The sequence below is a fragment of the Homo sapiens genome, chromosome 17 (genome assembly GCF_000001405.40).
Source record: "Homo sapiens chromosome 17, GRCh38.p14 Primary Assembly".
In the NCBI taxonomy this organism is placed as follows: domain Eukaryota; kingdom Metazoa; phylum Chordata; class Mammalia; order Primates; family Hominidae; genus Homo; species Homo sapiens.
This window is the reverse complement of record NC_000017.11, coordinates 35538461-35565546: the sequence shown is the minus strand read 5'-3', so window position 1 is coordinate 35565546 and position 27086 is coordinate 35538461. Positions and strand designations below refer to the sequence as shown.

General features: G+C 41.7%; 1 protein-coding gene and 1 long non-coding RNA gene across 6 annotated transcripts, besides 2 other annotated features; one reads left to right on the top strand and one right to left on the bottom strand.

Moving 5' to 3' along the window:
• SLFN14 (schlafen family member 14) lies at nucleotides 4728-21562 on the top strand. 4 transcript variants are annotated; one of them, NM_001129820.2, is made up of 6 exons: nucleotides 4728-4780; nucleotides 5742-5820; nucleotides 7441-8544; nucleotides 10843-10971; nucleotides 12103-12817; nucleotides 16474-21562. In NM_001129820.2, the coding sequence occupies exons 3-6, from the start codon at nucleotides 7485-7487 to the stop codon at nucleotides 17306-17308; spliced, it is 2739 nt and encodes a 912-aa protein (NP_001123292.1). In that variant the 5' UTR covers nucleotides 4728-4780; nucleotides 5742-5820; nucleotides 7441-7484; the 3' UTR covers nucleotides 17309-21562. The 4 variants fall into 4 exon arrangements, with proteins under 4 accessions (NP_001123292.1, XP_016880066.1, XP_016880067.1 ...); XM_017024577.2 differs by having other exon boundaries at nucleotides 5688-5820; XM_017024578.2 differs by lacking the exon at nucleotides 5742-5820.
• Nucleotides 9998-12342, bottom strand: LOC107985033 (uncharacterized). 2 transcript variants are annotated; one of them, NR_138031.1, is made up of 2 exons: nucleotides 12056-12342; nucleotides 9998-11101 (listed from the first exon to the last, which is right to left on the bottom strand). It is a non-coding gene; the product is annotated as an uncharacterized LOC107985033 (long non-coding RNA). The 2 variants fall into 2 exon arrangements; NR_138032.1 differs by having other exon boundaries at nucleotides 9998-10949.
• Nucleotides 24220-24409: an enhancer, noted in NCBI's record as "active region_12075". NCBI's record gives its function as "activates an Ori minimal core promoter by ATAC-STARR-seq in GM12878 lymphoblastoid cells {active_cell/tissue: GM12878}" and the evidence as "EXISTENCE:reporter gene assay evidence [ECO:0000049][PMID:35858748]".
• Nucleotides 24450-24529: an enhancer, noted in NCBI's record as "active region_12074". NCBI's record gives its function as "activates an Ori minimal core promoter by ATAC-STARR-seq in GM12878 lymphoblastoid cells {active_cell/tissue: GM12878}" and the evidence as "EXISTENCE:reporter gene assay evidence [ECO:0000049][PMID:35858748]".

Sequence of the window (27086 nt, the reverse complement as noted above, 5' to 3'; positions counted from 1 at the left end):
TGTTTAAAACATTGTAAGCGCTCAACAATTGATTATCATTATTATTATTTGAGACAGAGTCTCGCTCTGTCACCCAGGCTAGAATGCAGTGGTGCGATCTCGGCTCACTGCAACCTCTGCCTCCTGGGTTCAAGTGATTCTCATGCCTCAGCCTCCCAAGTAGCTGGGATTACAGGCGCATGCCACCATGCCCAGCTAATGTTTGTATTTTTAATAGAGATGAGGTTTCGCCATGTTGGTTAGGCTGGTCTTGAACTCCTGACCTCAAGTGATCCGCCTGCCTTGGCCTCCCAAAGTGGTGGGATTACAGGCGTGAGCCACTGCGCTTAGCCGACAATTGATTATTGAATGAAAATGGCATTACATGCCGGGCACCATATGCGGCAAAGAGCACATGTTAACACACATTTACTCTTTATGTGTATCATTTCACTTCATTCTGGCAAATACTCTGTGGAGGAGGCTCTGTTATTATCTCCAGTTTACACAGAAGAAATTGGAGGCTTAGGTTAGTTTAACAAAGTTTTCATAGCTAGAATGTGGCAGAGCTGAGATCTGAACACCTTAGGATCCCCAAAATAGCTGATCGAATGAAAGAATGAATGAAAGTGAGGAAACTTACACGGAGTCAGGTAGTGGCATAATGGAGCCCTTGGTCACTATTCTATTTACACTCTTTGGATCATCTCTATGAAAGAATTGGGGGTGAGATGGAGGCATCTGGGGGTAAAGAGACCAACTTTTCCCCTTTAGTTGCTATTTGACAGTTTATGTCTGGTGAACATGCAGGCTTGCGTCTGGTGAACATAAGTACAACTGTGGATAAACAGAAATGCTTAGTGAATAAACACATCTAAAATAAATTCGGGGTTCTTGTTCTTAGCAATCATCAATAGCATGGCCAGATGAATTTTCCTGAGACAGGAAAAAGCATAATCTAAGTTACTGATTTCAAGTTGTTTTGTATCAGGAACATTTGCTTGGGAGCTATCAAAGCCAAGATGTGAAGTCCTCCCTGGCCTGACAACCTAACTATTCATATCCAAGGGACTTGACTAAAACGCTTTGAAGAAGGAAAAGAAGTTCTCATTGCTCATTTTCCACGTTATTCCCCGCTTCTCTTGATTTGATTCCCAGTACTACCCTGTAGAAGAAGAAGAAGAAAACAGCAATCTAGTTTCTAGTTCTCCTGACCAAATGATGTTATTCCTCTTGATTGGGAAGAAAATGGGGAGGTACTTAGACTTCTGATTTTGAGGGCTTTCAAGCAATCCAGAATCCCAAACTTGAAAGAGTGAAAGAGTACAAGTCTTTGAATTAGACAGACCTAGTTTGGGATCGTCACTCTTCCACTCTCTGGCCGTATAGTCTCAGTTTTTGTGTGATGTGTAGTGCTCCCAGCATGGTCCCTTGCATCTGGTAAGCACATTTTTAGTAAATGGTGGTCATTTTTAGCCTTTGAAACATAAGTAATATCAGAGGGATTTCAATATGAAAGTGAGGCCGAGAATTAAGGTAGACAGGAGAACTAAAAGTGAGACTGGATTCAGAAGTGACACGAATGAAAAATGAGTTAAAGCTGAGAGCAGGCCTTTGGAGCTTATTATGTTGCTGTGTGAATTATATATCATAGTACCCATTCTGCCTCCTTTCCTGGAAACTCCTTTTAAGCCAAACATGTACAAAGAGTGATGCCAGCAGAGCAGAACTTCGTTGGGCAGTGGCGTCAGCTAACAACAACGACAAAAATAGGGATGTCCAGAGACTTATTTAAGAATGTCGTTTCATCATAAACGAATTGAAGTAGAGATACAGAGTACTTTGCTGGTTTGATTTAGAGGGAGAGAGGTGTATTAGTATTCTGTGGCTGCTGCAACAAATCACCACAAATTTGGTGGCTTAAAACAACAGAAACTTTTTTTTTTTTTTTTTTGAGATGGAGTCTCACTCTGTCACCCAGGCTGGAGTGCAGTAGTGCAATCTCGGCTCGGCTCACTGCAAGCTCTGCCTCCCGGGTTTACGCCATTCTCCTGCCTCAGACTCCCGAGTAGCTGGGACTACAGGCGCCCGCCACTACGCCTGGCTAATTTTTTGTATTTTTAGTAGAGACAGGGTTTCACTGCGTTAGCCAGCATGGTCTCGATCTCCTGACCTCGTGATCCGCCCCCCTCGGCCTCCCAAACTGCTGGGATTACAGGCGTGAGTCACTGCACCCGGCCCAGAAACATATTCTTTTATGAAAACTTATTTTAGGTTCAGAAGTACATGTGCAGGTTTATTATATGGGTAAACTCATGTCACGGGGGTTTGTTGTATAGATCATTTCATTACCCAGGTATTAAGCCTGCTACACAATAGTTATTTCTTCTGCTCCTCTCCCTCCTCCCACCTCAGGTGGGTCCCAGTGTCTGTTGTTCCCCTCTTTGTGTCCATGTGTTCTCATCATTGAGCTTCCACTTATAAGTGAGAACATGCAGTATTTAGTTTTCTGTTCCTGTATTAGTTTGCTAAGGATAATGGCCTCCAGCTCCATTCATTTGGTTATTTTTGTTTTTGCGTTTTTTTTTTAAATTTTTTATTTTTTTTACAGCTAGAAGTTCAACATCAGTTTCACTGAGTTGAAGTCAAAGTGTTGGCATGGGCTGGGCACGGTGGCTCACGCCTGTAATCCCAGCACTTTGGGAGACTGAGGCAGGCAGATCACATGAGGTCAGGGGTTCGAGACCATCCTGGCCAACATGGCGAAACCCCACCTCTATTAAAAATATGTAAATTAGCCAGGCATGGTGGTGCGCACCTGTAATCCTAGCTATGCTGGAGGCTGAGGTGGGAGAATTGCTTGAACCTGGGAGGCAGAGGTTGCAGTAAGCCGAGATCGCACCACTGCACTCCAGCCTAAGCAACAGAGCAAGACTCTGTCAAAAAAAAAAAAAAAAAAAGTGTTGCCATGGACCTGCTGTCTCCAGAAGCTCCAGGGGAGACTCTTCCAGCTTCTGGTAGCTGCTGGCATTCCTTTGCTTATAGCTGCATCACTCCATCTCTGCTTCTGTGATCACATTGCCTCCTCCCCTTTTGTGTGTATCAAAGCTTGACCCAGTTTAGCCACCATCCTCAAATAAGATAACTCACTGCCTCCCATCTGTTGGTTGTTTTTTCTTTTTTTGAGATGGAGTCTCGCTTTGTCTCCCAGGCTGGAGGCTGGAGTGCAGTGGCGCAATCTCGGCTCACTGCAACCTCCACCTCCCAGATTCAAGTGATTCTCCTACCTCAGCCACCTGAGTAGCTGGTATTACAGGTGTCTGCCATCATGCCTGGCTAATTTTTGTATTTTTAGTAGAGACGGGGTTTCACCATGTTGGCCAGGCTAGTCTTGAACTCCTGACCCCGTGATCCACCGGCCTCGGCCTCCCAAAATGCTGGGATTACAGGCATGAGCCACTGCGCCCGGTATCTGTTTTTTTTTTTTTTTTTGAGATGGAGTCTCACTTTGTCACCCAGGCTGGAATGCAGTGGCATGATCTCGGCTCACTGCAACCTTTGCCTCCCAGGTTCAAGCAATTCTCCTGTCCCAGCCTCCCCAGGAGCTGGGATGACAGGTGTCCACCACCATGCCCAGCTAATTTTTGTATTTCTAGTAGAGACGGGGTTTTCACCATGTTGGCCAGGCTGGTCTTGAACTCCTGACCTCAGGTGATCTGCCTGCCTCAGCCTCCCAAAATGCTGGGATTACAGGCATGAGCCACTGCCCCCAGCATCTGTTGGGTTTTCTTTTTCTTTCTTTCTTTCTTTCTTTCTTTTTTTTTTTTTTTTTTTTTTTTTTTTTTTGAGATGGAGTCTCCCTCTGTTGCCCAGGCTAGAATGGAATGGCATGATCTCGGCTTACTGCAACCTCTGCCTCCCAGGTTCAAGCAATTCTCCTGTCTCAGCCTCCCCAGTAGTTGGGATTACAGGCACACACCACCACACCAGGCTAATTTTTGTATTTTTAGTAGAGACAGGGTTTCACCATATTGGTCAGGCTGGTCTCGAACTCCTGACCTCAGATGATCCACCCACCTAGGCCTCCCAAAGTGCTGGGATTATAGGCATGAGCCACCACACCCAGCCCATCTGTTGGTTTTTACCATTTGTTTTTTAATTATGAAAAACAATTTATACTCATTGTAAACCATTAAAAATACAGATCAGTTAAAGATAATAAAGGGAAGAAAAATAAATTAATTAAAAAATTACCTTTAATCCTCCTACCCAGGGATTGCCAGCTCCTAATCTATGAGGATTTTTCTAGGCTGGGTCTTGTGTTTAACAAAGATGAAAAGTAGGAAAAAGAATAAAAATAAATAGAAAAGAACAAGCCATTTAGGAGGTAATGAAATAGGTTAATATTGCCCACAATGAATATGTACAGGAAGCCTAATTTAAAATAAAAACAGAGCTTTGCACACACAATTTTCCAGCGCTGAAGGTACATGTATGATATGTGGAAATGAAGCTCAGTCTCTTAGAAGTGCTAAGTTTAACTTTTTCCATTCACCCCTGCATTTTCTCATTACGACCTCATTCACTCCCTGAGGTCAGACCCTGGCCTGCTAATCTGCCCTGTCACAGGCTCTTCATGAGTCCTTATCGGCCTTCCTCAGTATGTCAGTGTTATGAAGAAGTGGGAAGTCTGCTCCTCCCAGGCTAATATCAAAGGGCAAAAGGGGCTGTGACAGAAGCAAACATTCAGACTACAGCCAGATGTGAAACTGAAGCAGCAAGAGGAAACACAGGAGCATAGGTAAAAAAAAAAAAAAAAATTCTTAAAAATATCTCATTTATCTAATTTTAGGTGCAGTCTACATCTGAGGGCATGAGGGATTAGTAAAATAGTATTTAGGGAAAATTTGTAAAGGAAAATGAATAAAAAATTCTGGGAAGGCCTGGCGTGGTGGCCCGTCCCTATAATCCCAGCACTTTGGGAGGCTCAGGTAGGTGGATCACCTGAGGTCAACAGTTCGAGACCAGCCTGGCCAACATGGTGAAACCCCATCTCTACTAAAAATACAAAAATGTATCGAGAGTGGTGGCTCTTGCCTGCAGTCCCAGCTACTCTGGAGGCTGAGGCAGGAGAGTCACTTGAACCTGGGGGACGGAGGTTGCCATGAGCCAAGAGATCGTGCCACTGCACTCCAGCCTGGGCACAGAGCAAAACTCTGTCTCAAAAAAAGAAAAAAAAGTCCTGGGAAATGTGGAAAGGATATTCATCTCGAGCTAGAATCTCAGTAAATGTTGTATTTATCATAATTGTTATCAGCATTCAAATAACATTGATGAGACTTACGAGTCACGAGACCATAGGGTTTGCTATTCAAAATCAATTAGATTTGTTTTGTGGGTCCCATCAGTGGAAGTTATGGGGAGACAAATTGCAGCTTAAAGTAAGGAGACCATTTCTAACACAGACGTCAGAAATTAGAAGGGACTAGAGGGACTATTTGATAGGTAGTGAGTTGCTCATTGCTGGAGGTTTGCAACTTGTTGGGAGTTGGCAATATTATAGAGGAGATTTTAGAATCCTATAGATTGTTGGACTGGAGGATCTTTAAAGTCCTTTCCAACACTTCTGTGATTCTATGATATAAATAGAATGTTATGGGAAATTTCCCTAAGGAGCCATAAAATACTACATTTACATGTACCTATAGAAGAGGCTCACATTCTAAAAAGAATTCCCCAGGTTGATTCTGGTTTTCCTGAAGGAAGTGAGAAGGCAACCAAGAACAAATTGATATCAGGGGAGTGCACATGTCTTGCCGGATGCCTGCTTTCTTCCTCTTGGTGAGTATATACAATGCCCACAGGGCCCCTGCTTTGCAAAGATCACACAGAAAGATGGGTTCTCTTCTCCTAGAGGAAGAATTTTGGTTGAGTTAGCAAATATTTTGTTTTGCAATTGACTAAAGGTAAGCAGATCTTTTCTGAAATATTTGTTTCAGAGCTCAAATTTCAGTTTAGGTGGCTGTTTTCTGGTCTAGGAAGCAAAAGAAGGGTGACAATGGTTTAGTTACCATGCCCCAAAAGCTCATGTTCTTTTCCAAGTCTTAGGGGTTTCCACAGCACAGGGCAGAACTATTAGAAGGGAAGGAAAATGCTGCTGTCACATCACACTGTATATGAGGCAATGTACTTTTGAGATTTAGAACATGTGAAGAGTTGAAAAGGTTTCTGCATTTGGTATCAACTGACATTCTTTCAGGAGTAAAATAAAGCTTTTCAAAGTGTATGAAATAATACATAAAAATATAGAATTTTATTTATTTACTTTTATTTTTATTTTTTTAGACAGGTTCCCACTCTGCTGCCCAGGCTGGAGTGCAGTGGTGCGATCATGGTTCACTGCAGCCTCAAACTCCTGGGCTCAAGAGATCCTCCCACCTCAGCCTCCTAGGTAGCTGGGACTGCAGGTGCGCACCACCATACCTGCCTAATGTTTAACATTTTTTTTTTTTTTATCTTTTGTCGAGATGGGGTCTTGCTATGTTGTCCACGCTGGTCTCAACTCCTGATCGAAAGCAATCCTCTCACATCCACCTCCCAAAGTGCTGAGATTACACATGTGAGCTACCACACCCAGCCTATGTTTGTGTTTATAGCAAGATCTTCTACAGTACATATACTGTAAAATTATACTTCCTTAGTTCTCTAGTGCCTTCCTTTCTTCCCCTTTTGAATTATAAATAAGAGCATCTTCTCACTTCAACTTCTATTTCTGCATATTCTCCAATACCTTCCTGGGCTCCTGTGCCAACCCATGCCCTTTATATCTGGGCTCAGTGTTGGCGTTTCCTGATTTGAAATGCAAAATGGCTGAAAATGTTAGCAATTTAATTTTTCCATTATGACAAATATTAGGCATTCACCTTTATCCATGCCTACTTATTCTGGCAAGGCTAAGGATATTTGGCAAAGTGATTAGAAAACAGCAGTATCAAAGATAATTTCCAGTTGGGTGCGGTGGCTCACATCTGTAATCCCAGCACTTTGGGAGGGAGGCCCAGGCAGGAGGATTGCAACGTAGCAAGACTCCATCTCTTAAAAAAAAAAAATAGCAAGAACAAAAAAGAAAAAAAAAATTAGCCAGGCTTGGTGGCACGTGTCTGTAGTCTCATCTACTAGGGAGACTGAAGTTGGAGAATCACTTGAACTGGGAGGTTGAGGTTGCAGAGAACTATTATTGTGCCACTGCACTCCAACCTGCATAACAGAGCAAGATTCTATCTCAAAAACAAACAAACAAAACTAAAAAACCCAAAACAAACAACAACAACAAATATACATATAGAGAGAGATGACTTCCAACATTAAAATATATCTCCAGTAATTGATAGTTTTGAAGAAAATATTGTAATCTTTGGAATTCTTATTAATATAGAAACAATATTTCTGTCCTGATTATAGGAACTCCTTTCTTTTATTGTTTGGAGCACAGAGGGGCTGCTGAAATGGAGAGTCTCAAGACTGATACTGAAATGCCGTATCCTGAGGTAATAGTAGATGTGGGCAGAGTGATTTTTGGAGAAGAAAACAGGAAGAAGATGACCAACAGCTGTTTGAAAAGATCTGAGAATTCTAGAATTATCCGGGCTATATGTGCACTGTTAAATTCTGGAGGTGGTGTGATCAAAGCAGAGATTGATGATAAAACCTATAGTTACCAATGCCATGGGCTGGGACAGGATTTGGAAACTTCTTTTCAAAAGCTCCTTCCTTCAGGTTCACAGAAATACCTTGACTACATGCAGCAGGGGCACAATCTCCTGATTTTTGTGAAGTCATGGAGCCCAGATGTTTTCAGCCTTCCACTAAGGATTTGCAGCTTGCGCTCCAATTTGTATCGGAGAGATGTGACTTCTGCTATCAACTTGAGTGCTAGCAGTGCCCTGGAGCTTCTCAGAGAGAAGGGGTTTAGAGCCCAAAGAGGAAGACCAAGGGTGAAGAAGTTGCATCCTCAGCAGGTTCTCAATAGATGCATTCAGGAAGAGGAAGATATGAGGATATTGGCCTCAGAATTTTTTAAAAAGGACAAACTCATGTATAAGGAGAAACTCAACTTTACTGAGTCAACACATGTTGAATTTAAAAGGTTCACCACCAAAAAAGTCATACCTCGGATTAAGGAAATGCTGCCTCATTATGTTTCTGCATTTGCCAACACTCAAGGGGGATATGTCCTCATTGGGGTGGATGATAAGAGCAAAGAAGTGGTTGGATGTAAGTGGGAAAAAGTGAATCCTGACTTACTAAAAAAAGAAATCGAAAACTGCATAGAAAAATTGCCTACATTCCACTTCTGCTGTGAGAAGCCAAAGGTAAATTTCACTACAAAAATCCTGAATGTGTACCAAAAAGATGTCCTGGATGGTTATGTCTGTGTGATTCAAGTGGAGCCCTTCTGTTGCGTGGTGTTTGCAGAGGCCCCAGATTCCTGGATCATGAAAGACAATTCTGTCACACGGCTGACAGCTGAGCAGTGGGTGGTCATGATGCTGGATACTCAGTCAGGTAAAGGGAAGTGAAGTCATTGTCCCCATCAGCAGGGAGGAACCCCTTTCTCTGCCTTTTGTGGGTATTTGATCACATATGTTAGTTAAAAAATAGAAATTTATTTTTCTTATAAGTGTTCTCCCATTACAGTGTTCCTTATCTAACATTTTTAGTTCCAAAGACTCAGAATATAAACTGAGGTCAAGAAATGTTTGGATTCTATGGCCTAAACAACTTTTTTTTCTTTAGACTCTGTCACCCAGGCTGGAGTGCAGTGGTGTGACCTCGGCTCACTGCAAACTCCACCTCCCAGGTGCAAGTGATTCTCGTGCTTCAGCCTCCCAAGTAGCTGGGATTACAGGCACACACCACCATGTCGGCTAATTTTTGTATTTTTAATAGAGATGGGGTTTTGCCATGTTGCCCAGGCTGGTCTTGAACTTCTAACCTCAAGTGATCAACTCACCTCCACCTCCCAAACTGCTGGGATTACAGGTGTGAGCCACCACTCCTGGCCAGCCTAAGCAACTTTTAAAGGAAAGTTACAGTATGCCATCAGCAATGAGTTAGGAAAGGTCTCCTTTTATTGTCTATAAACCTGTTGAAAAAATTGTGCAGGCTGATCATCCCAGTCAAAATTGGAATAGCCTCATTTTAGAGATGATATTCTAGAGAAACACTGTTTAAGAATAACTCTGAGGCTGGGCGCAGTCCTAGCACTTTGGGAGGCCAAGGTGGGCAGATTGCCTAAGCCCAGGAGTTTGAGACCAGCCTGGCCAAAATAGCGAAGCCCTATCTCTCCCCCAAATATAAAAATTAGCCAGGCGTGGTGGTGTATGCCTGTAGTCCCAGCTACATGGGAGGCTGAGGTGGGAGGATTGCTTGAGCCTGGGAGGTGGAGGTTGTAGTCAGCCAAGATCACTCCACTGCACTCCAGCCTAAGCAACAGAGCGAGACCCCGTCTCAAAAAAATAAATAAATAAAAATAAAAAAATAAAAATAAATGACTCCACTACTCCACTAATTCTTTCAAGCAAAACATTGTTGACAAATTTGAATTGTTTCAGTAACATTAGGAGCTAATAACCTTAAGCCACTGGGCTTAGGGCACCACCAAGTGGGGGAAAATGATGCAAAAGGAGATGCTAGGGCAAGGGGGTGCTGGGGGGAGCAGGACCCCTGGTGTTCTCACTTACCTTTCAGTTTTGATTGGAATCAGCCTTGGTGATTCCTAATCAATCCATAAAGGACTATAGGCCGAACTACGCCTATCTGCTTGCCTTCACGGCCAGTATGTTCCAGATTTCATCAAAACTTGAGTGATTGGAGAATTTTATTGGGTCATTCTTTCTCTTAATTTGTTTGAGTTCACTTCTCTTCTCCTCTCCCCTAAAGATCCTGCCACTTTTGATTCCATCTAACCTTAGATGGGGACATAAACAACTGTAACAACATTTTTTTTTTTTTTTGAGACAGGGTCTTGCTTTGTCGCCTAGGCTGGAGTGCAGCGGCACGATCTCAGCTCACTGCAGCCTCCGCCTCCCAGGTTCAAGCAATTCTCCCACCTCAGCCTCCCGAGCAGCTGGGATTACAGGCACACCACCACGCCCAGCTAATTTTTGTATTTTTTTGTATTTTTTTTTTTTTTTGAGACGGAGTCTCGCTCTGTCACCCAGGCTGGAGTGCAGTGGCGCTATCTCGGCTCACTGCAAGCTCCGTCTCCTGGGTTCACCCCATTCTCCTGCCTCAGCCTCCCGAATAGGTGGGACTACAGGCGCCGGCCACCATGCCTGGCTAATTTTTTTTGTTTTTAGTAGAGACGGGGTTTCACCGTGTTAGCCAGGATGGTCTTGATCTCCTGACCTCGTGATCCGCCTGCCTCGGCCTCCCAAAGTGCTGGGATTACAGGTGTGAGCCATCACATCTGGCCAACACCATTTTTAAAATACTGTGCTTTAATCCTTGCTGATCCCCACTAGATGCCTTTTCTTCTTAGAGATAACCTGGAGTCAGAATATTATAATTGAAAGGAAGCTTAGGGATTATTACTTCACTCCAGCGTGAGAGAGAGGTGAAATGACTTGCTCAAGCCGAGTCACACAGTGACTTAGAATATGTGTGATATGTCCCCTGTAGGAATCCCCAGACTTCCTTTCCTGACATACGTGAGCTGTCTGACGCATAGTAAGTACGACTGCTCAGGCACCCATGCACATCACAGGTCTCCAGTAAGAAGAGCCAAAAAAAGAGGCTTTTTTTTTTTTTTTTTTAACTTTTTATTTTTTGTCTGAAACAACTTTCCATGTAATTGTCTAGCTCCTCCCAGTTTGGTCACAGACTACAACTCTTGCCTGATTTCATCAGCTTCATCTGCACGAAAAAGTCCCGGATATCCCATAAAAGTCCACAAATTTAAGGAGGCTCTGCAACGACATTTGTTTCCAGGTATTCCCTCTTGATTTCAACTTAGGGGACTATTTGTTTTCTAAAATTGAGTTGGGAGGTGTTAGTAGTAATGAGTTCAGGTGTTTCTCCTTAGGGAAGGTCAAATGAAGGACTTAGCGACATAATGATCCTGAAATTTGAAATATATATATTATATATATAATATATATATGACTGAAAACAAGGGTCATATATATACTTATTTAAAATAATTATTAATATTTATTATTAATTTATTATATAATTATTATATATAATTATATATAATATTTATATATCTATATATCTGACCCTTGTTTCCAGTCATCTGATTCCCACTATTACTATTTCTGTGTGCCTTCCAACTTCTCATAACATATGGCTTTTGTTTTCCAAATTTGAGAGTGCAGGGAATTTCTCAGGTCTCAACCATCAAAAAACTGCCCCTAGCTTTCCAATGCAGAAGGAGCCATTGGGTTATCTGAACTTCTTCTAAAGCAGGGTTTCTCAACCTTAGCACTATTGTCATTTGAGTCAGATAACTCTTTGCTGGGGGAGGGAGAGCCCTGTGAATTGTAGAATACTTAGCAGCATTCCTATCTGGTACCTACTACATACCAGTAGCTCCCCTCCAATTGTGACAATAAAAAATTCTCAGGCCGGGCATGGTGGCTCATGCCTGTAATCCCAGCACTTTGGGAGGCCAAGGCGGGTGACCTCAACTGAGGTCAGGAGTTTGAGACCAGCCTAGCCAACATGGTGAAACGCTGTCTCTACTAAAAATACAAAAATTAGCCAGGTGTGGTGGCATGTGACTGTAATCTCAGCTACTCCAGAGGCTGAGGCAGAAGAATCACTGGAACCAGGGAGGCAGAGGCTGCAGTGAGCCAAGATCACACCACTGCACTCCAGTCTGGGTGACAGCGAGACTCCGTCTCACAAAAAAAGAAAAAATTTTCCAGACATTGCCAAATGTCCGTGGGGATGGGGGAGAGTTGGGGAGTAAAACTGCTCCTGATTAAGAATCACAATTCTAAAGGAAAGCTCTTATTTTCCCAAATGCACCAGGTATCATTTTTTTCTGCAACGTTGCAGGAATACTTACCACATGCTTTTGTAAGTTTTGGTAACATCTATTCCTTGAATTTTCAGTGACACAGGAAGAGGTACAATTTAAACCAGAATCCCTCTGTAAGAAGCTGTTCTCAGATCATAAAGAACTGGAGGGTTTAATGAAGACCCTGATACATCCTTGTTCTCAGGGGATTGTGATATTTTCTAGAAGCTGGGCTGGTGATGTTGGCTTCAGGAAAGAACAGAATGTCCTGTGTGATGCTCTCCTGATAGCAGTTAACAGCCCCGTGGTACTCTATACAATCTTAATAGACCCCAATTGGCCTGGAGGACTTGAATATGCCCGAAACACAGCTCATCAGTTAAAGCAGAAACTGCAAACTGTTGGTGGTTACACAGGGAAAGTGTGCATCATTCCAAGGCTGATACACCTGAGCAGCACACAGAGTAGACCTGGTGAGATCCCCCTGCGTTACCCCAGGTCCTACAGGCTTGCTGATGAGGAGGAAATGGAAGACTTGCTGCAGGCTCTGGTGGTGGTCTCCCTGTCCTCCAGATCTCTTCTGAGTGACCAGATGGGCTGTGAATTTTTCAACTTGCTCATAATGGAGCAGAGCCAGTTGCTTTCTGAGAGTCTTCAGAAGACACGTGAATTATTCATCTACTGCTTTCCAGGAGTCAGGAAGACAGCCCTAGCCATAAAGATCATGGAGAAAATTAAGGACTTGTTTCACTGCAAACCAAAAGAGATCCTCTATGTTTGTGAAAGCGACTCCCTAAAGGATTTTGTGACGTAAGAGTTTTACCAACTACACACACACAAAAATATGTATGTGTATATATATATGTGTATATATATGTGTATATATATGTGTATATATATATGTATATATATGTGTATATATATACACATATATATATATTCTTTTTGCAGTTGCAAGATTTAATAGAGTGAAAACAGAGCTCCCATACAAAGGGAGGGGACCCAAAGAGGGTAGCCGTTGCCAGCTTGAATGCCTGGGTTTATATCCCGATCATTGTCCCTCCTGCTGTGCTCTCAGGCAATAGATGATTGGCTATTTCTTTACCTCTTGTTTTTGCCTAATTAGCATTTTAGTGAGCTCTCTTTCTTATCTGATTGGTCGGGTGTGAGCTAAGTTGCAAGCCCCATGTTTAAAGGTGGAAGTGGTCACCTTCCCAGCTAGGCTTAGGGATTTTTAGTCAGCCTAGGAAATCCAGCTAGTCCTGTCTCTCAGTGCCCCCCTCAACAGGAAAACCCAAGTGCTATTGGGGAAGTTGGCCGACCACCGCTCTAACTGCTTCCTGCTGAATTGGGGCGTAGTAGGGGTTCTGCAGTTGAGATTTCCTCGGGAGGGGTGCCTTTGATGTCATTAACATTGGAGCATGGGCTAGCAGGCCGGTCCAGGGGTCCGTGGTAGATTTTACTCATGGATTGCATCTGGGGCTCCATTTGAAGAACCATTTGTAGCTTTGCAGCTTCGATTCTGGAAGAGACAAACTTAACAAGGAGGTTAAAGATACAGGGTCCAATTAACAAGGAGGTTAAAGATACAGGGTCCAAAGAGGAGTAACAATATTATAGCTGCTAGAGGTCCTAAGAAGGGGAGAATCCGGGGCATCCATTGGCTGAGGAGGCCCCAGGGGCCAGTGTTTTGAAGCTCCTCTGCTCTACGTTGTATTCGATCTCGAATTTCTTTAACTTTTTGGTGACGATTCCGGATTGATTAACATAATAACAGCATTCTTCCCCTAAAAATAAACAGGTTCCCCCTCTTTCGGCGGCTAGCAAGTCTAAAGCTCTTCTATTTTGAACGACTACTGCTGCTAGGGAGTTAAGTTGATCTTGCAAGGTGACCAGGGAGTCAGAGACCCGTTCCATGTCACCATTTAGTTCTTGAGATAGTTTGTAGTAGAACTGAATAGAGGTTGTGATACCGCCAGTGCCAGTACCTACTCCACCTAGCACTCCTGCTCCGATAACAAAAGGAAGAATGGGTACCCTTTTGTTGCGGGGCTTAGGTACGACATGATTGTATAAATCTTGTTCAGTGTAGATGGTCATAGGGGGCGCTAAGAATGAGAGGAAGCATATAGATTCTGAAGAGCCATTCAAACAACGATAGGCTGAGGTACCACAGACAAAAAATATTCCTGAGGGTAGGCAGACTATTCGTGTGGGAAGAGTTACCCACCTGATGTGCTGGGAGTTGGTTGCACACACACACAAAAATATATTTAGTCAGTCTTTTCAAGAGTGTCACAAAAGTGATTTGTGTTTTTAGTTTAAGTTTTTGCAGTGCCTTAGTTGCATAAGTGCAAGAGCCCAAACTATATACACATTTCCAAATAATCATGGAATTGAGCTGTAAACAGGTAATTTATAATGTTCAACCTTAAACATCTCATTATAAATAACCCACATGTGCATAACTTACATTTACAGAACCAGAAACTTTTTTTTTTCTCACAATCCATGGCCTTACATTTAAGAGAAGTAGAAATGAACCCATTCTGCTTTAAGTATACTTTCTGTTTGATATGTAATGTTTTAAAGTCATAGGGTATTTCTGCTAATTAGACATTGTACCTAGTGAAACTTGAATTTAAATACAGTTTGATTTTGTTCATAAAATATTTTCATTTTTGACTTGTTCTGCATCAGTAATTTTAGAAAATATGCAAATTCACTTCTGATTTAAATCTCTAACTTTTAATTTAGTAAAATGAATTGGTCATTATAGAATTCAGCAAAAGAGGGCAAAATCATTATGATTTTTGGCTTGGTTTTGTTATTCAATAAATCTTTTTGAGCACTGTTGATGTGGTATCTACTGTGCTACATTTAGTGTTAGAGGAGAAAACATATTGAAGACCTTGCCATAAAAAAAACAATGTGAGTATTGTATAATAATAAAGACATGCTCATTTTAATTAACTAATTAATTAATTTATTTTTGAGACGGAGTCTTGCTGTGTCAACCAGGCTGGAGTGCAGTGGCACGATCTCAGCTCACTGCAAACTCTGTCTCCTGGGTTCAAGTGATTCTCTTGCCTCAGCCTCCCGAGTAGCTGGGATTACAAGTGTGCATCACCACGCCTAGCTAATTTTTGTATTTTTAGTAGAGACGGGGTTTCACCATGTTGGCCAGGCTGGTCTTGAACTCCTGACCTCAGGTGATCCGCCCACCTCCTTCTCGCAAAGTGCTGGGATTACAGGCGTGAGCCACTGCACCTGGCCTCATGCCCATTTTAACAGGCTAGAGGTTGGTTGGTAAATATTCCCCAGTGAAGGAGACCATTGGGCACACTGTTAAGAAGTCAGCAGGAGAAGTGAATCAAATAGGGGAGGGCTTTCCAGGCAAAGGGCACAGCAAGTTCAAAGACATGGAGACACCAGAGAACCAGAATGGTAGGTCTGACTAGAGCTGTGCAGACTGTGGGTATACAGCAGGTGGTGATGTTGAAAAGGAGGTAGACGCCAGATTATCAGGGATCCTGTAGACTGTGCTGAGGACTACGTTCTTTATTAAGTTTCATAGCTAAGTTTGAAAATACTCCAGTCAAAAGGCTAACTCAACAAATATCTATGAAACCCTTAATGTGAGAGGGATACAAAGATGGCTAAGAATCAGTACTTTTATTTGAGTCCACACAGTCCAAACCAGAAGAGAAGAACATAGTTATGATTCAAGGCATAGGGAGTAAAGGCCCTAGGAACTGCATATGTAAAATCATGGAATCTGTAGGGATGAGTGATGTTACTTGGATCCAAATTAAAGGAGGCAAAAAACAACCAAATTCGTTCAGAAAAAATACATATATGCTAAAGCGTACTATAAAGGAAAATTGAGCTAAGTAAATGAGGTAGCTCCAAAGAGGCATAGCCCCATAGATTTGGTACCCTACTTGATGTGTCGTGGAACTCAGCATCCTCTTGATGTTTCTCTTACCAAAATCTAAAGAAGCTTTAGAGGAATTTGAACTAGTCCGTGCTTTTTTTGCACATAAAAATTATGATATGCATCGAGGAAACTGTTTTCCAGCTCTAAAGAGGATAGAAAGTAAAGAAATGGTAGTAAGAAGTGTAAGTTAACTTTGAGATTTCCTTTAGATGTAATGAACTTGTCTTCAGGATTGCCAAACAGTAGGAATGGATTACTAATAGACATAATACAATCTGTTACCTGGGTTCATTTCAGAAGTTTCACATGCAGGTTTAACTGGATAACCCCAAAGAGCAAGGTGTAAAATTATGCATTCTGTCTGTCAGGTAACTTGTAATTAGAACAGTTTTGTGGTATTCACACTACTGAATCAATGACTCAGCCTGCAGATGAGAATCAGCCTCTGATTCCATTCCAGAGAGTAATGACTGCTGGTGTTCTCTTTGTTGATATGCCTCAAGCCCTGTTTTTTCCGTCCTTACAGCCAACAAACCACCTGCCAAGCTGTGACCAGGAAAACTTTCATGCAAGGGGAGTTTCTAAAGATTAAACACATAGTGATGGATGAGACTGAGAATTTCTGCAGCAAATATGGCAATTGGTACATGAAGGCTAAGAACATCACCCATCCAAAGGCGAAGGGGACTGGAAGTGAAAACCTTCACCATGGGATTCTCTGGCTTTTTCTTGACCCTTTTCAAATCCATCACGCAGATGTCAATGGCCTTCCCCCTCCATCTGCTCAGTTTCCTCGAAAAACAATCACCAGTGGGATCCACTGTGCTCTGGAAATAGCGAAGGTTATGAAAGAAGAAATGAAGAGGATCAAAGAAAATCCTCCCTCCAACATGTCTCCAGACACATTAGCATTGTTCAGCGAGACTGCCTATGAGGAAGCAACGTGTGCCCAGGCTCTGCCTGGGGTGTGTGAGACAAAGACTAATCTGACAACAGAACAAATAGCTAACTATGTGGCAAGAAAATGTCACAGCCTGTTCCAGTGTGGCTATCTGCCCAAAGATATAGCAATTCTGTGCAGGAGAGGGGAGGACAGAGGACGCTATAGGCTTGCACTACTCAAAGCAATGGAATTAATTGAGACCCACAGACCATCAGAGGTTGTGTTTAGCCCGGCCACCGGTGTTTGGGGAAGTCACATTGTTTTAGACAGTATTCAGCAATTTTCAGGCCTGGAGAGGACTGTCGTGTTTGGGCTTAGTCCAGAATGTGACCAGTCAGAGGAATTTCATAAGCTCTGCTTTGCTTCAAGAGCCATTAAACACCTCTACCTGCTTTATGAAAAGAGGGCAGCCTACTGAAAATTATTACAAATAATAGAGGAAGACAGGAAGAGCAGAGTCCTTTCTCCTAGACAGGTAGCAGTGACTCCATTTTAATATTACAAGTGAGGAAATCAAGGCACATCAGTATGGCCTGGAGCCACAGAAATGTCTCTTGGAGCTGAGCCTTCCACTCTATTTCAATGCCACTGGCCTTTTCACAATTTCCTTCACCTCCTACCTATACAATTACAATAGACTTCATTAGTCCCCTGTCTCCAGCTTTCCCACTCAATCCAGCTGTCATCCATCAGAGAATTTTTCCTCAAATAGAGAACTGATTTTATGTAATACCTTGCTAACATATCTTCAATGAGTCCCCACAGCCTTCAAACCTAACCAATTTTCAAGGCTTTCATTAATATGCCCTGACTTGCTCTCCCAACCACATCCTTTATTGTATCTCCATCTCCCCATGTTTCTCATGCACCCCAGCCCACCTGGCATAATTTTTGGGTGGTGGTATGGTGCCCTCCAGGCTGGTTACTTTGACTGCATAGGTCTCAAAAGTAGCCAATTGACTGGCACCTCATACTGGCTATGGGTCTCAAGCTTTCCAGGTCCAGAACTTGATTGCCTTTTTGTACCAAGTCTAGATCAGTCTCTTGGGGATGCTTTATGCTAATCAAGCTCACAAAGGACCAATGCATACATCAAAATGTTACTCTGTTAATTTATAGTGAGGACCATAGTCATAAGTGGGTCAAATGCTTTTGCTAATCAGTGCCCTCAACAGTAATATAGGAAGCCAAATTATATGAACATAGCCTTACAGTAAGGGAAGCTGGTAATTTGATTCAAATCTTAAAAATCTTCAGATTATATTAGACTATTGCAATATCTATTAGGTTGGTGCAAAAGTGCAAAAGCCACAATTACTTTTGCACCAACTTAATATAAAATAAGATTGCAATAATTTCTAAAATAAAGATATTTCTATCACAAGGACTAGACAAATTAGTTTACAGTTTACAAGCTAAAGCAAATTTAGAATGCTAAGGATGACTAGTTTTTCATTATTCTTTGCCCTCAGATGAATTTTTTTTTCTCTGTCTTGGTTTCTAAAATTTCCAGGTTCACCACCAACCCTCTCCTTACTGCCCCCAACATATACAAATTTTGCCTACATTTATCCTCTATGTATGTGAATACATTCATGTAGGCTAGAAATGCCTTATACTCTGCCGCTGGCCTGGAAAGTAGTCTTCCTACAAGGGGCCTTTGCACATCTCTGATTTCTTCCATTATGACTTGGTGCTAATTTTTAAATCCAACTCTCAGAGTTTATGGGGATCCTTGGTGGCAACTTTACCACCAACACCACCCACACACATCCCCGACTCCTGGTCTGTGCCTGTGCCATTTTCTCAGTCTTTAAACCCTTTTCTGTCCCCTCCACCTTTGAAATCCTTACTTGGCAATCACATCCTTTTTCAAATGCCTACTACCTCAATTAAACTTTTATTATCTCCCTAAGTGAAACTTTCCAATGTATATGATACATATTAGAAATGAAATCAAAGTTCCCCTTTTCTAGTCAGTTCCCCAAATGGCTGAGCCAATTCTGTACTCTTCAAATTACTCTTGCTTTTGCAAGGATTTTTAAATTGCTTTGGAAGTATTCATATTTCCAAACTGTTTTTAACTTCTAGAAAAGTTTAGGATAACTTGATTGACTCTGGGGAGGCTTGAATCCAGGAGACATGTGGAAATTTTGGTTATGATTTTAGATAAAGCCCCTCAGCCTTCCAAGAGGTGGAAGAGCAGGCAGGGTTTCGAGAAGCTCTCTTAGCTGCCTTTCTGAATTGCTTAGGCCCATTAGAAGGGCTAGTCTGTACCTAGGCACGGGTTGAAAAGAAAAACCTCTCCCTTGCTTCCTACTGCTCTAATTACCTGGTGTTTCTTCCTTTTTACCTTTCCTTGGGGGCTTTAGGGTAGTTTTGGATAGGAGGAAATGAAGTTCAGCAATCGGTTTTGCAAAAGATGCCAGTGCATTGACATTCTGATGTAGGGAGATGTATGAATTCTATAAAAATAATTTAAACAGTCAAAGTCAACAGAGTATGAAGGAGTATGAGTGGGACAAGGAATTGCTATATTTTAGTCATAAGCCTTAGTACCATTTGACTTTTTAAAATATATGCATGCATCATATAATTTTTAATAAAAGAATTGATTTGTAAAGAATTGTTTTAAATATTGAATTTGAGAGTCTTTGTCAGTTCTTAGTCTAGTGAAACAATTCAATCAGGATGAAAGTAGAATAACTAACTCAGTGATTCTCAACCCTGGATGCTCATTATAATTTCCTGGGCGACTTAAAAAAAATCAGTGATCAGGCCAGACACCAGACTAATTAACCTCAGTGTGTCTGAACACAGGCTCGGGCATCGGTATTTATTAAATGTTGTCCAGGCAGGGTGCAGTGGCTGGTGCCTGTAATACCAGAACTTTGAGAGGCTGAGGTCTGGGGGAATCACTTGAAGCCAGGAGTTGGAGACCAGCCTGGGCAACATAACAAGACCCCATCTCTACAAAAAAAATTTTTTTAAAAACTTAGTTGGGCATGGTGGTGCATGCTTTTAATCCTAGCTACTCCAGAGGCCAAGGTGGGAGGATCACTTGAGCCCAGGAGTTTGAGGCTACAGTGACCTATGATTACTCCACTGCACTCCAGCCTGGGTTACAGAGCAAGACTCTATCTCTTAAAAAAAATCCAAATGATTCTAATATGTCACAAGGGTTGAGAACCATTGAACCCTTCTCCTAGTCTGTTCTTTCTGTCCTCAAAAAATGTGTGCACATTTCTCTTCCTATTAAGACTGTGAGCTCCTTGAGAGTAAGAGGATGAGTCACTTACACATCCTTATTTCCCCTAGAGCAACTAGTACAGTGCCTCACACAGGGCAGGTGCTCAGTAAATATTTGCTGAATTGTACTTGTAGCTTTTAGAAAACTAGAATCTACAATGATTCAATTCGATAGTATGAATTTCTAATGTTAGAGATTTCAAAGAAGTCAGTGTGGAGAATAATCTTTAACACTGTAATAATGAAGAATAAGGGAACAATAAAGGCAACTCAATTGTTTTTAGGCAACAGGTCAAATTAAGGATCTATGATGATAGTTCATTAGATTCAAATGTAAGATTAGGAACTGGTGGGGACTAAGAATAATGGACTAACTTGGTTGTTTTAGAATTCTCAATGTTTTCTACAAAGTCTTAATATGATGGATAAAGCAATTAACTAAATGAAATAACTAAGATAAAAGAGAAGCTTTAGAAACTGTGAGAAGCTTCTAAAACTTACTTTTAAAAAGAAGGGTAATATAATATTATCATGGAAGCTTCGGAAATGGAGAAAGGCAAAATTAAAAGTTCTTAAATCAGGCTGGGCGCAGGGGCTCATGCTGGTAATCCTAGCACTTTGGGAGGCTGAGGTGGGTGAATCACCTGAGGTCAGGAGTTCAAGACCAGCCTGACCAACATGGAGAAACCCTGTCTCCACTAAAAATACAAAATTAGCTGGGCATGGTGGCGCATGCCTGTAATCCCAGCTACTTGGGAGGCTGAGGCAGGAGAATTGCTTGAACCTGGGAGGTGGAGGTTGCAGTGAGCTGAGATTGCGCCACTGCACTTCAGCCTGGGCAACAAGAGTGAAACTCTGTCTCAAAAAAAAAAAAAAAAAGTTCTTAAATCATCTTGTTATCTGGGTGTAACATTTTTTCATTTTTGCTTATTTATTTCTATTCTTTGTTGATATGGAAAAATATTTTCACACAGTTATGATCAAGTTGTGCCATCAACTTTATAACGTATATGTGTGCTTTTTCCATTTAATTGTTTTGTGAGATATTGCTATAGACTACATTATTGTTCCCAATATTTCCTACCTCTCTATATCTATACCCTTTGTAGTTACTAACATTAGAGGTAGAGATATTTTCCACCCCTGTAATGTGGCCTTGGTCATGTGACTTGGAATGTTAGTAGTTCTGATGTGCACAGAGGCTGTACATGGACTTTCAGCATTGGGTTTACTCTCTCGGGTTTCTGCTGTTTCCATACAAAGAATGTACCCTGGGTGGCCCACCAGCCACTGAGATATGTGAATCCAACTTGAACTCAACTCATGGCCTGGAGCCAAGTTCCACCAGTCCTAACTAGCTTAGCCAAAATCCAGCTGATCTGAAAGTGCATGAATGAGAAATAAAAGCTTATTATTTAATGACTGAGATTTCAAGGTTGTTTGTTTTGTAGCTTTAGCTGACTAATGCAGGCATTTCCTCATGTGGTAGCACAGTCTTCAATATAATCATTTTTAATGGGTGCACTGCATCCTAGCCAGATCATATGAAATTTCAGCGATCATTCCCCTGTCATTCGTGTCACTAGCAATTTTACACCAATTTAATTAAGCCAGGCACATACTCAGGCATACAACCTTTTCTTTTTCTGGTATATTTATAAATGCCTGGAGATGGGCTTACTGGATGAAAAGGTGACTTGGATGAAAGAATCACTTTATTCAGATTAGTTCTGATGGGAAGTGAATAGAAAACCCCAGTCACTGCATCTGATAACGTATAAATTTTGTTGCATTAACTAAGAGAACAAAATGCTGATATCAGGTTCTGATGACAAAAAAGAGGCAATGATATCTTGGAAACAGGTGACTCTAAAAGGGCTGCAAGGGAGCACAGAGAGTGAAACTAAGGCTCACCACCCTAACCTGGAGCTGCAGAGAAGATCTTAACTTGGAGAACTATGGGTAGAAACATGAATTATATAACCTCGACACTGTATTAAAAAAAATCTGTGGTCACTTAAAACTGACATAAGGTACAAAGAGAAAAGAAAAGATGCCTCTGACCATGAACAGGACCTTTTAATTTTTTAATGTATTTCCTCTTGTTATTGTTTACTACTTCAGAGTTCTCTTGGGCCAATTGCAGATAAAGTCCCTTATCCCTGCTTTAATCAGGGAAGGCTGTCTTTGCCCAGTTGTACAGCTTGAAAGAGGCATGTGGTAGAGGGGGAAACAATGAAGGAAGCAGGTGCTTCCTTCCTAGCCAGCCAAATATGACAGACCCCACCAGTCAACAGCTAATACATCAAAATACCTTTACAGTCCCATTGATGTCTCCTCTGATATATACAGTTACAACAAACATATATTAAGTGCTTAGTATGTAGTAGACATGGTGCAAATTGTTTTTAAAATATATCTTTTAACCCCCAACCAGTCTTTGAATTATGTATAGCAGTAAGGTACGATAAGGCAGTGTTAAGAGCTTGAGTCCAGGGGTCGGATTGACTCTGGCCTTGAATTCCAACTCTATTCCTTAATTGGCTGGATGACCTTGAGCAAGTTACTTTACCTCTTCAAGATTCAGTTTTCTCATCTATAAAATAGAGGTAAAATTCATACCTACGTCTTCAGGTAAAGATGAAGATTGAAAGTTAATACTACATTTAGGCCGACCACTGTGGCTCACAGCTGTAAACCCAGCATTTTGAGAAGTTGAGGTAGTTGGATCACTTGAGCCCAAGAGTTTGAGACCAGCCTGGGTAACATGGTGAAACCCCATCTCCACAAAACAAACCCCAAAAATTAGTCAGGCATGGTGGTGCGTGCCACTAGTCCCAGCTACTTTGGGGGCTGAGGTGGGAGGATCAATTGAACCCAGGGGGTCGAGGCTACAGAAAGCCATGATGGGGCCACTACACTGCAGCTTGGGGAACAGGGCATGATACTGTCTAAAAAACTAAAAATAATAAATAAATATGACATTGCCCAGGCACGGTGGTTCACGCCTGAAATTCCAGCACTTTGGGAGGCCAAGGCGGGCAGATCACTTGAGGTTGGGAGTTCAAGACCAGCCTGGCCAACATGGTGAAACTCTGTGTCTACTAAAAATACAAAACAATTAGCTGGGTGTGGTGGCACACACCTGTAATCCCAGCTACTTGGGAGGCTGAGGCAGAGGAATCACTTGAGCCCGGGAGGCAGAGGTTGCAGTGAGCCAAGATCGCGCCACTGCACTCCAGCCTGGATGATAGAGTGAGAATCTGTCTCAAAAAATAAATAAACAAACAAATAAATAAATAAGACATTTAAATAAAGCATAATATGTGGAAAGCTCTCAATAAATTTTAGATCTTACTAGTTCCAATTTACAGCTGAGGAGGCTATGACTTAAAAGATAAATACTTAGGGCCAGTTTCGATGGCTCATGCCTGCGATCCCAGCACCTTAGGAGGCCAAAGCTGAAGGACTGCTTGAAGCCAGGAGTTTGAGATCAGCCTGGGCAATATAGAGAGACTCTGTCTCTATAATTTTTTTTTCTAAATTAGCAGAGCGTGGTGGCACACACTTGTAGTCCAGCTACTTGGGAGACTAAGGTGGAAAGATTGCCTAGGCCCAGGAGTTCAAGGTTACAGTGAGCCATGATCATACCACTACACTCCAGCCTGGATAACACCACAAGACTCTATCTCTAAAAATAAATAAATAAGTAAATAAATAAGCAAATGAATAATAATACCTTACCCAAGATCACAGAACTAGTAAGTTCTGAATCTGAGATCTGAACTCATGTCTGTCTGACTCCAAAGTCCATGTTAGCTTCTATGTTCTTCTGTTTGTACATCAAAGTTAAAGACGTAAGTCTCCTTCTGTGTTGACAGTAATTCATTTGATTTTATGCTGAGGCTTGGATCAAATACACTTAGAATACTGATGGTATTTTTAGCCTCTAAAATTTTTCTACAAAATCAATATGATTACTTAAATGACTTACATAATAAGAAACGTTCAGAGGAGAGCATTTTGTATACCAAGAAACATAAAAGATATACCTGTCATTACAAGTTCTATATAATTACATTATAGAAAGATTAGAAAATAGAGAACCACAAAAGAAAATTCAATCCCTATTATTACCGCTGAATCATGCAGTTGCTTTCACTTTTGCTTGTTCGTTTCCTGGGCTAGTCCACTGGCAGATATATTTTAGCAGAGTTGTAATCATAGCGTACATTCCATTGTATATCCTGTTTGGGTTTATTGTTCTGGTGACCCCTTTCTTCTCTGCAGTCTCCCATATAGTATGTGAGACATTTCCCACATTGCAGGTTAGGGAGAGGTGGTTCTCCGTGCCTTTGAGCAAGGAGCCAAGATTATCAGTGCAGTAGTGCCCCTTACTTTCCAATTGGTTTCATGAACAGCAGGAACTCATGCCTACAGGGAAGAAGAGGATGATGGGCAAGTAAAGGAGGAAAAAGCTCTTCACCTAATTCCATAAAATATGGGGTAGGGTGGGGTGGGGTGGGGGCAGACATTTTAGGGAACTGTACAACAGAGCAACACAATTAGGACAGAAGCAGCCTTCTTTCGTCACTTCCCCACGGGTCACTGTGGGAAGATGGCATGTGAGCGTGCCCTGCTTGTGCAGTTGCCAGTCACAGAACCCAGGAGGTCTGGAAAGCAAACCTCTGTTTGGCCAAAGGTACTGAAGGGTGGCAGAATGTGTTGCCCCCAAATATGCCATTTTGGCATAAGGATTATTTGGAGCTAAAGGCACTTGAAAATAGCAGATGCATATGAGGACCCAAAGGCATAAAAATAATAGACTCTGAGGACTTGGGGGAAGGGTGGGAGGAGGATGAGGGATAAAAGGCTACACGCTGGGTGCAGTGTACACTGCTCGGGTGATGGGTGCACCAAAATCTCAGAAATTACTGCTGAAGAATTTATCCATGTAACCAAACACCACCTGTTCCCCCCAAAACTGTTGAAATAATAATAAAAAGAAAAAGAAAATAGCAGATGCAAAAAGTGAATCTTAATCTTTTTTTCTTCCTTAAAACAGGAGATAAAAGTCCCACGTGAAAGATGCCCTCCCTGTACCAGGAGAATAAAAAACATTCTTTGACGGGGGTCATACCCAGGATAATTCTGTACAAACAGACCTTGCTAAAATAACCCTTATCTTACTTTGCCTTCACACATACTTTAATGTAATTACTTTTCTGCAGTTGTACTCTTTGCTCACCCTACTATACAAGCATTTAGGTTTCGGCACTTCTTTAGGTCTTGAATTTTCTATAGGGGCTCCTATATGTAAAAATCTGTATGTTTTTCTCTTGTTAATCTGTCATAGGTCAAGTTAATTCTCAGGCCTAGCCAAAATCCCTAAGAGAACAGAGGTAAAATTTTGCCTCCCTTGTGGTTTCTGGCAATGAAAATGGGACCCTAGAAGGTTGGGATGCGCCACTCACTTCAGAGCCTGTGGGTAGGATCCCGGAAGAGCTGACAGAACCTGCAGAAGGTAAGAATTCTTACCAAAGTCAGTCCCCCGACATATCTATCTGCAGTGCCCTGTAGAGAGGAGAACGTAAATTTTCCTTGTCTCTTCCTTTCCAAATTCAGATTGGCAGGAGAAAAACATTTGTAAGAATGAGTTCTTTGAATTGTAACTTTTATAAATTTGGTCTGGGTATGATCCACAGCCTCCAAGGAATAATAAAAAGTCCTTGTCTCTGTCGTTTGTGTTGTTTGTCATAAGGAAGAAAATCATGAGATTCGATTCTTCCTTCGTTTTATGTCCCGAGAGCTTGGCTTTAAAATAGTCTCTCTGGTCCTCGCCGCCAGAGGGCGCAAGTGTTGCTGGTTTGCATCAGGCCACCAGCCTGGAACCCAAAATCTAAGATAAGCAGCATTTTCGTCCGCCTGTGCCAGCTCTCAGAGAAGTTTGTCTTAATAAAAGGTCCCAGTCCATAAGAGGCGTTTGTCACCTGAACCTTCATTTTTCTTTTCTTTCTTTCTTTCTTTCTTTCTTTCTTTCTTTCTTTCTTTCTTTCTTTCTTTCTTTCTTTCTTTTTTTTTGAGTACAGGGTTTCATTCTGTCGCCCACGTTGGAGTGCAGTGGCGTGATCTTGGTCACTGTAACCTCCGCCTCCCGGGCTCAAGTGATTCTCCCGCCTCAGTCTCGCGAGTACCTGAAATTTCTGACATGCACCACCAGGCCTGGCTAATTTTTGTATTTTTTGTAGAGACAGGGTTTCACCATATTAGCCAGGCTGGTCTTGAACTCCTAACCTCAAGTAATCTGCCCGCCGCAGCCTCCCAAAATACTGAGATTATAGGTGTGAGCCACCGCGCCCGGCAAAAGGGCTGCATGGTTTGCATCCTCCTTGGGGATGTCTCTTACATCCATGGTTAAGTGATAAAAGGCTTATAGGTTTTAAGCCATAAAAACTTACTGGTTTTGAGTCACAATTAAGACAGGTATACCTTTGAAGATTTGAACTTTTATATCTAAAAGGATTTTTTTTTAAAAGAAAGCTGTCATCCTAAACAAATGTCTATGGAAAGATGAGATCGAAAGAAAATATTAATAGGCAAAGATGAGAATCAATTTTTATCAAAATTATTAAATTTTGTGTTTATGTATACCTAATCATGGCTAAGATTTTAAATGAAAATTATAAGATCTATTTGTGTCTGTCTTTATGTTTATGCCTATATGTGTGTGTTGTGTATATGTGATATGTCTCTACCTCCTGATATTGCACCACTACTTGACAGTATAATTCAGAATGTCTGGGGAAGGACCTTAGCATCTGAATTTTTAAAAAGCATGCCAAAAGATTTGAACAAGCAGCCAAGATTGGGAACTAATTATCTGATTAACGAATGACATCTCTAATTCAATTCCCTCTAGTGCACAGCACCTTTTCTTATAGCTAAAA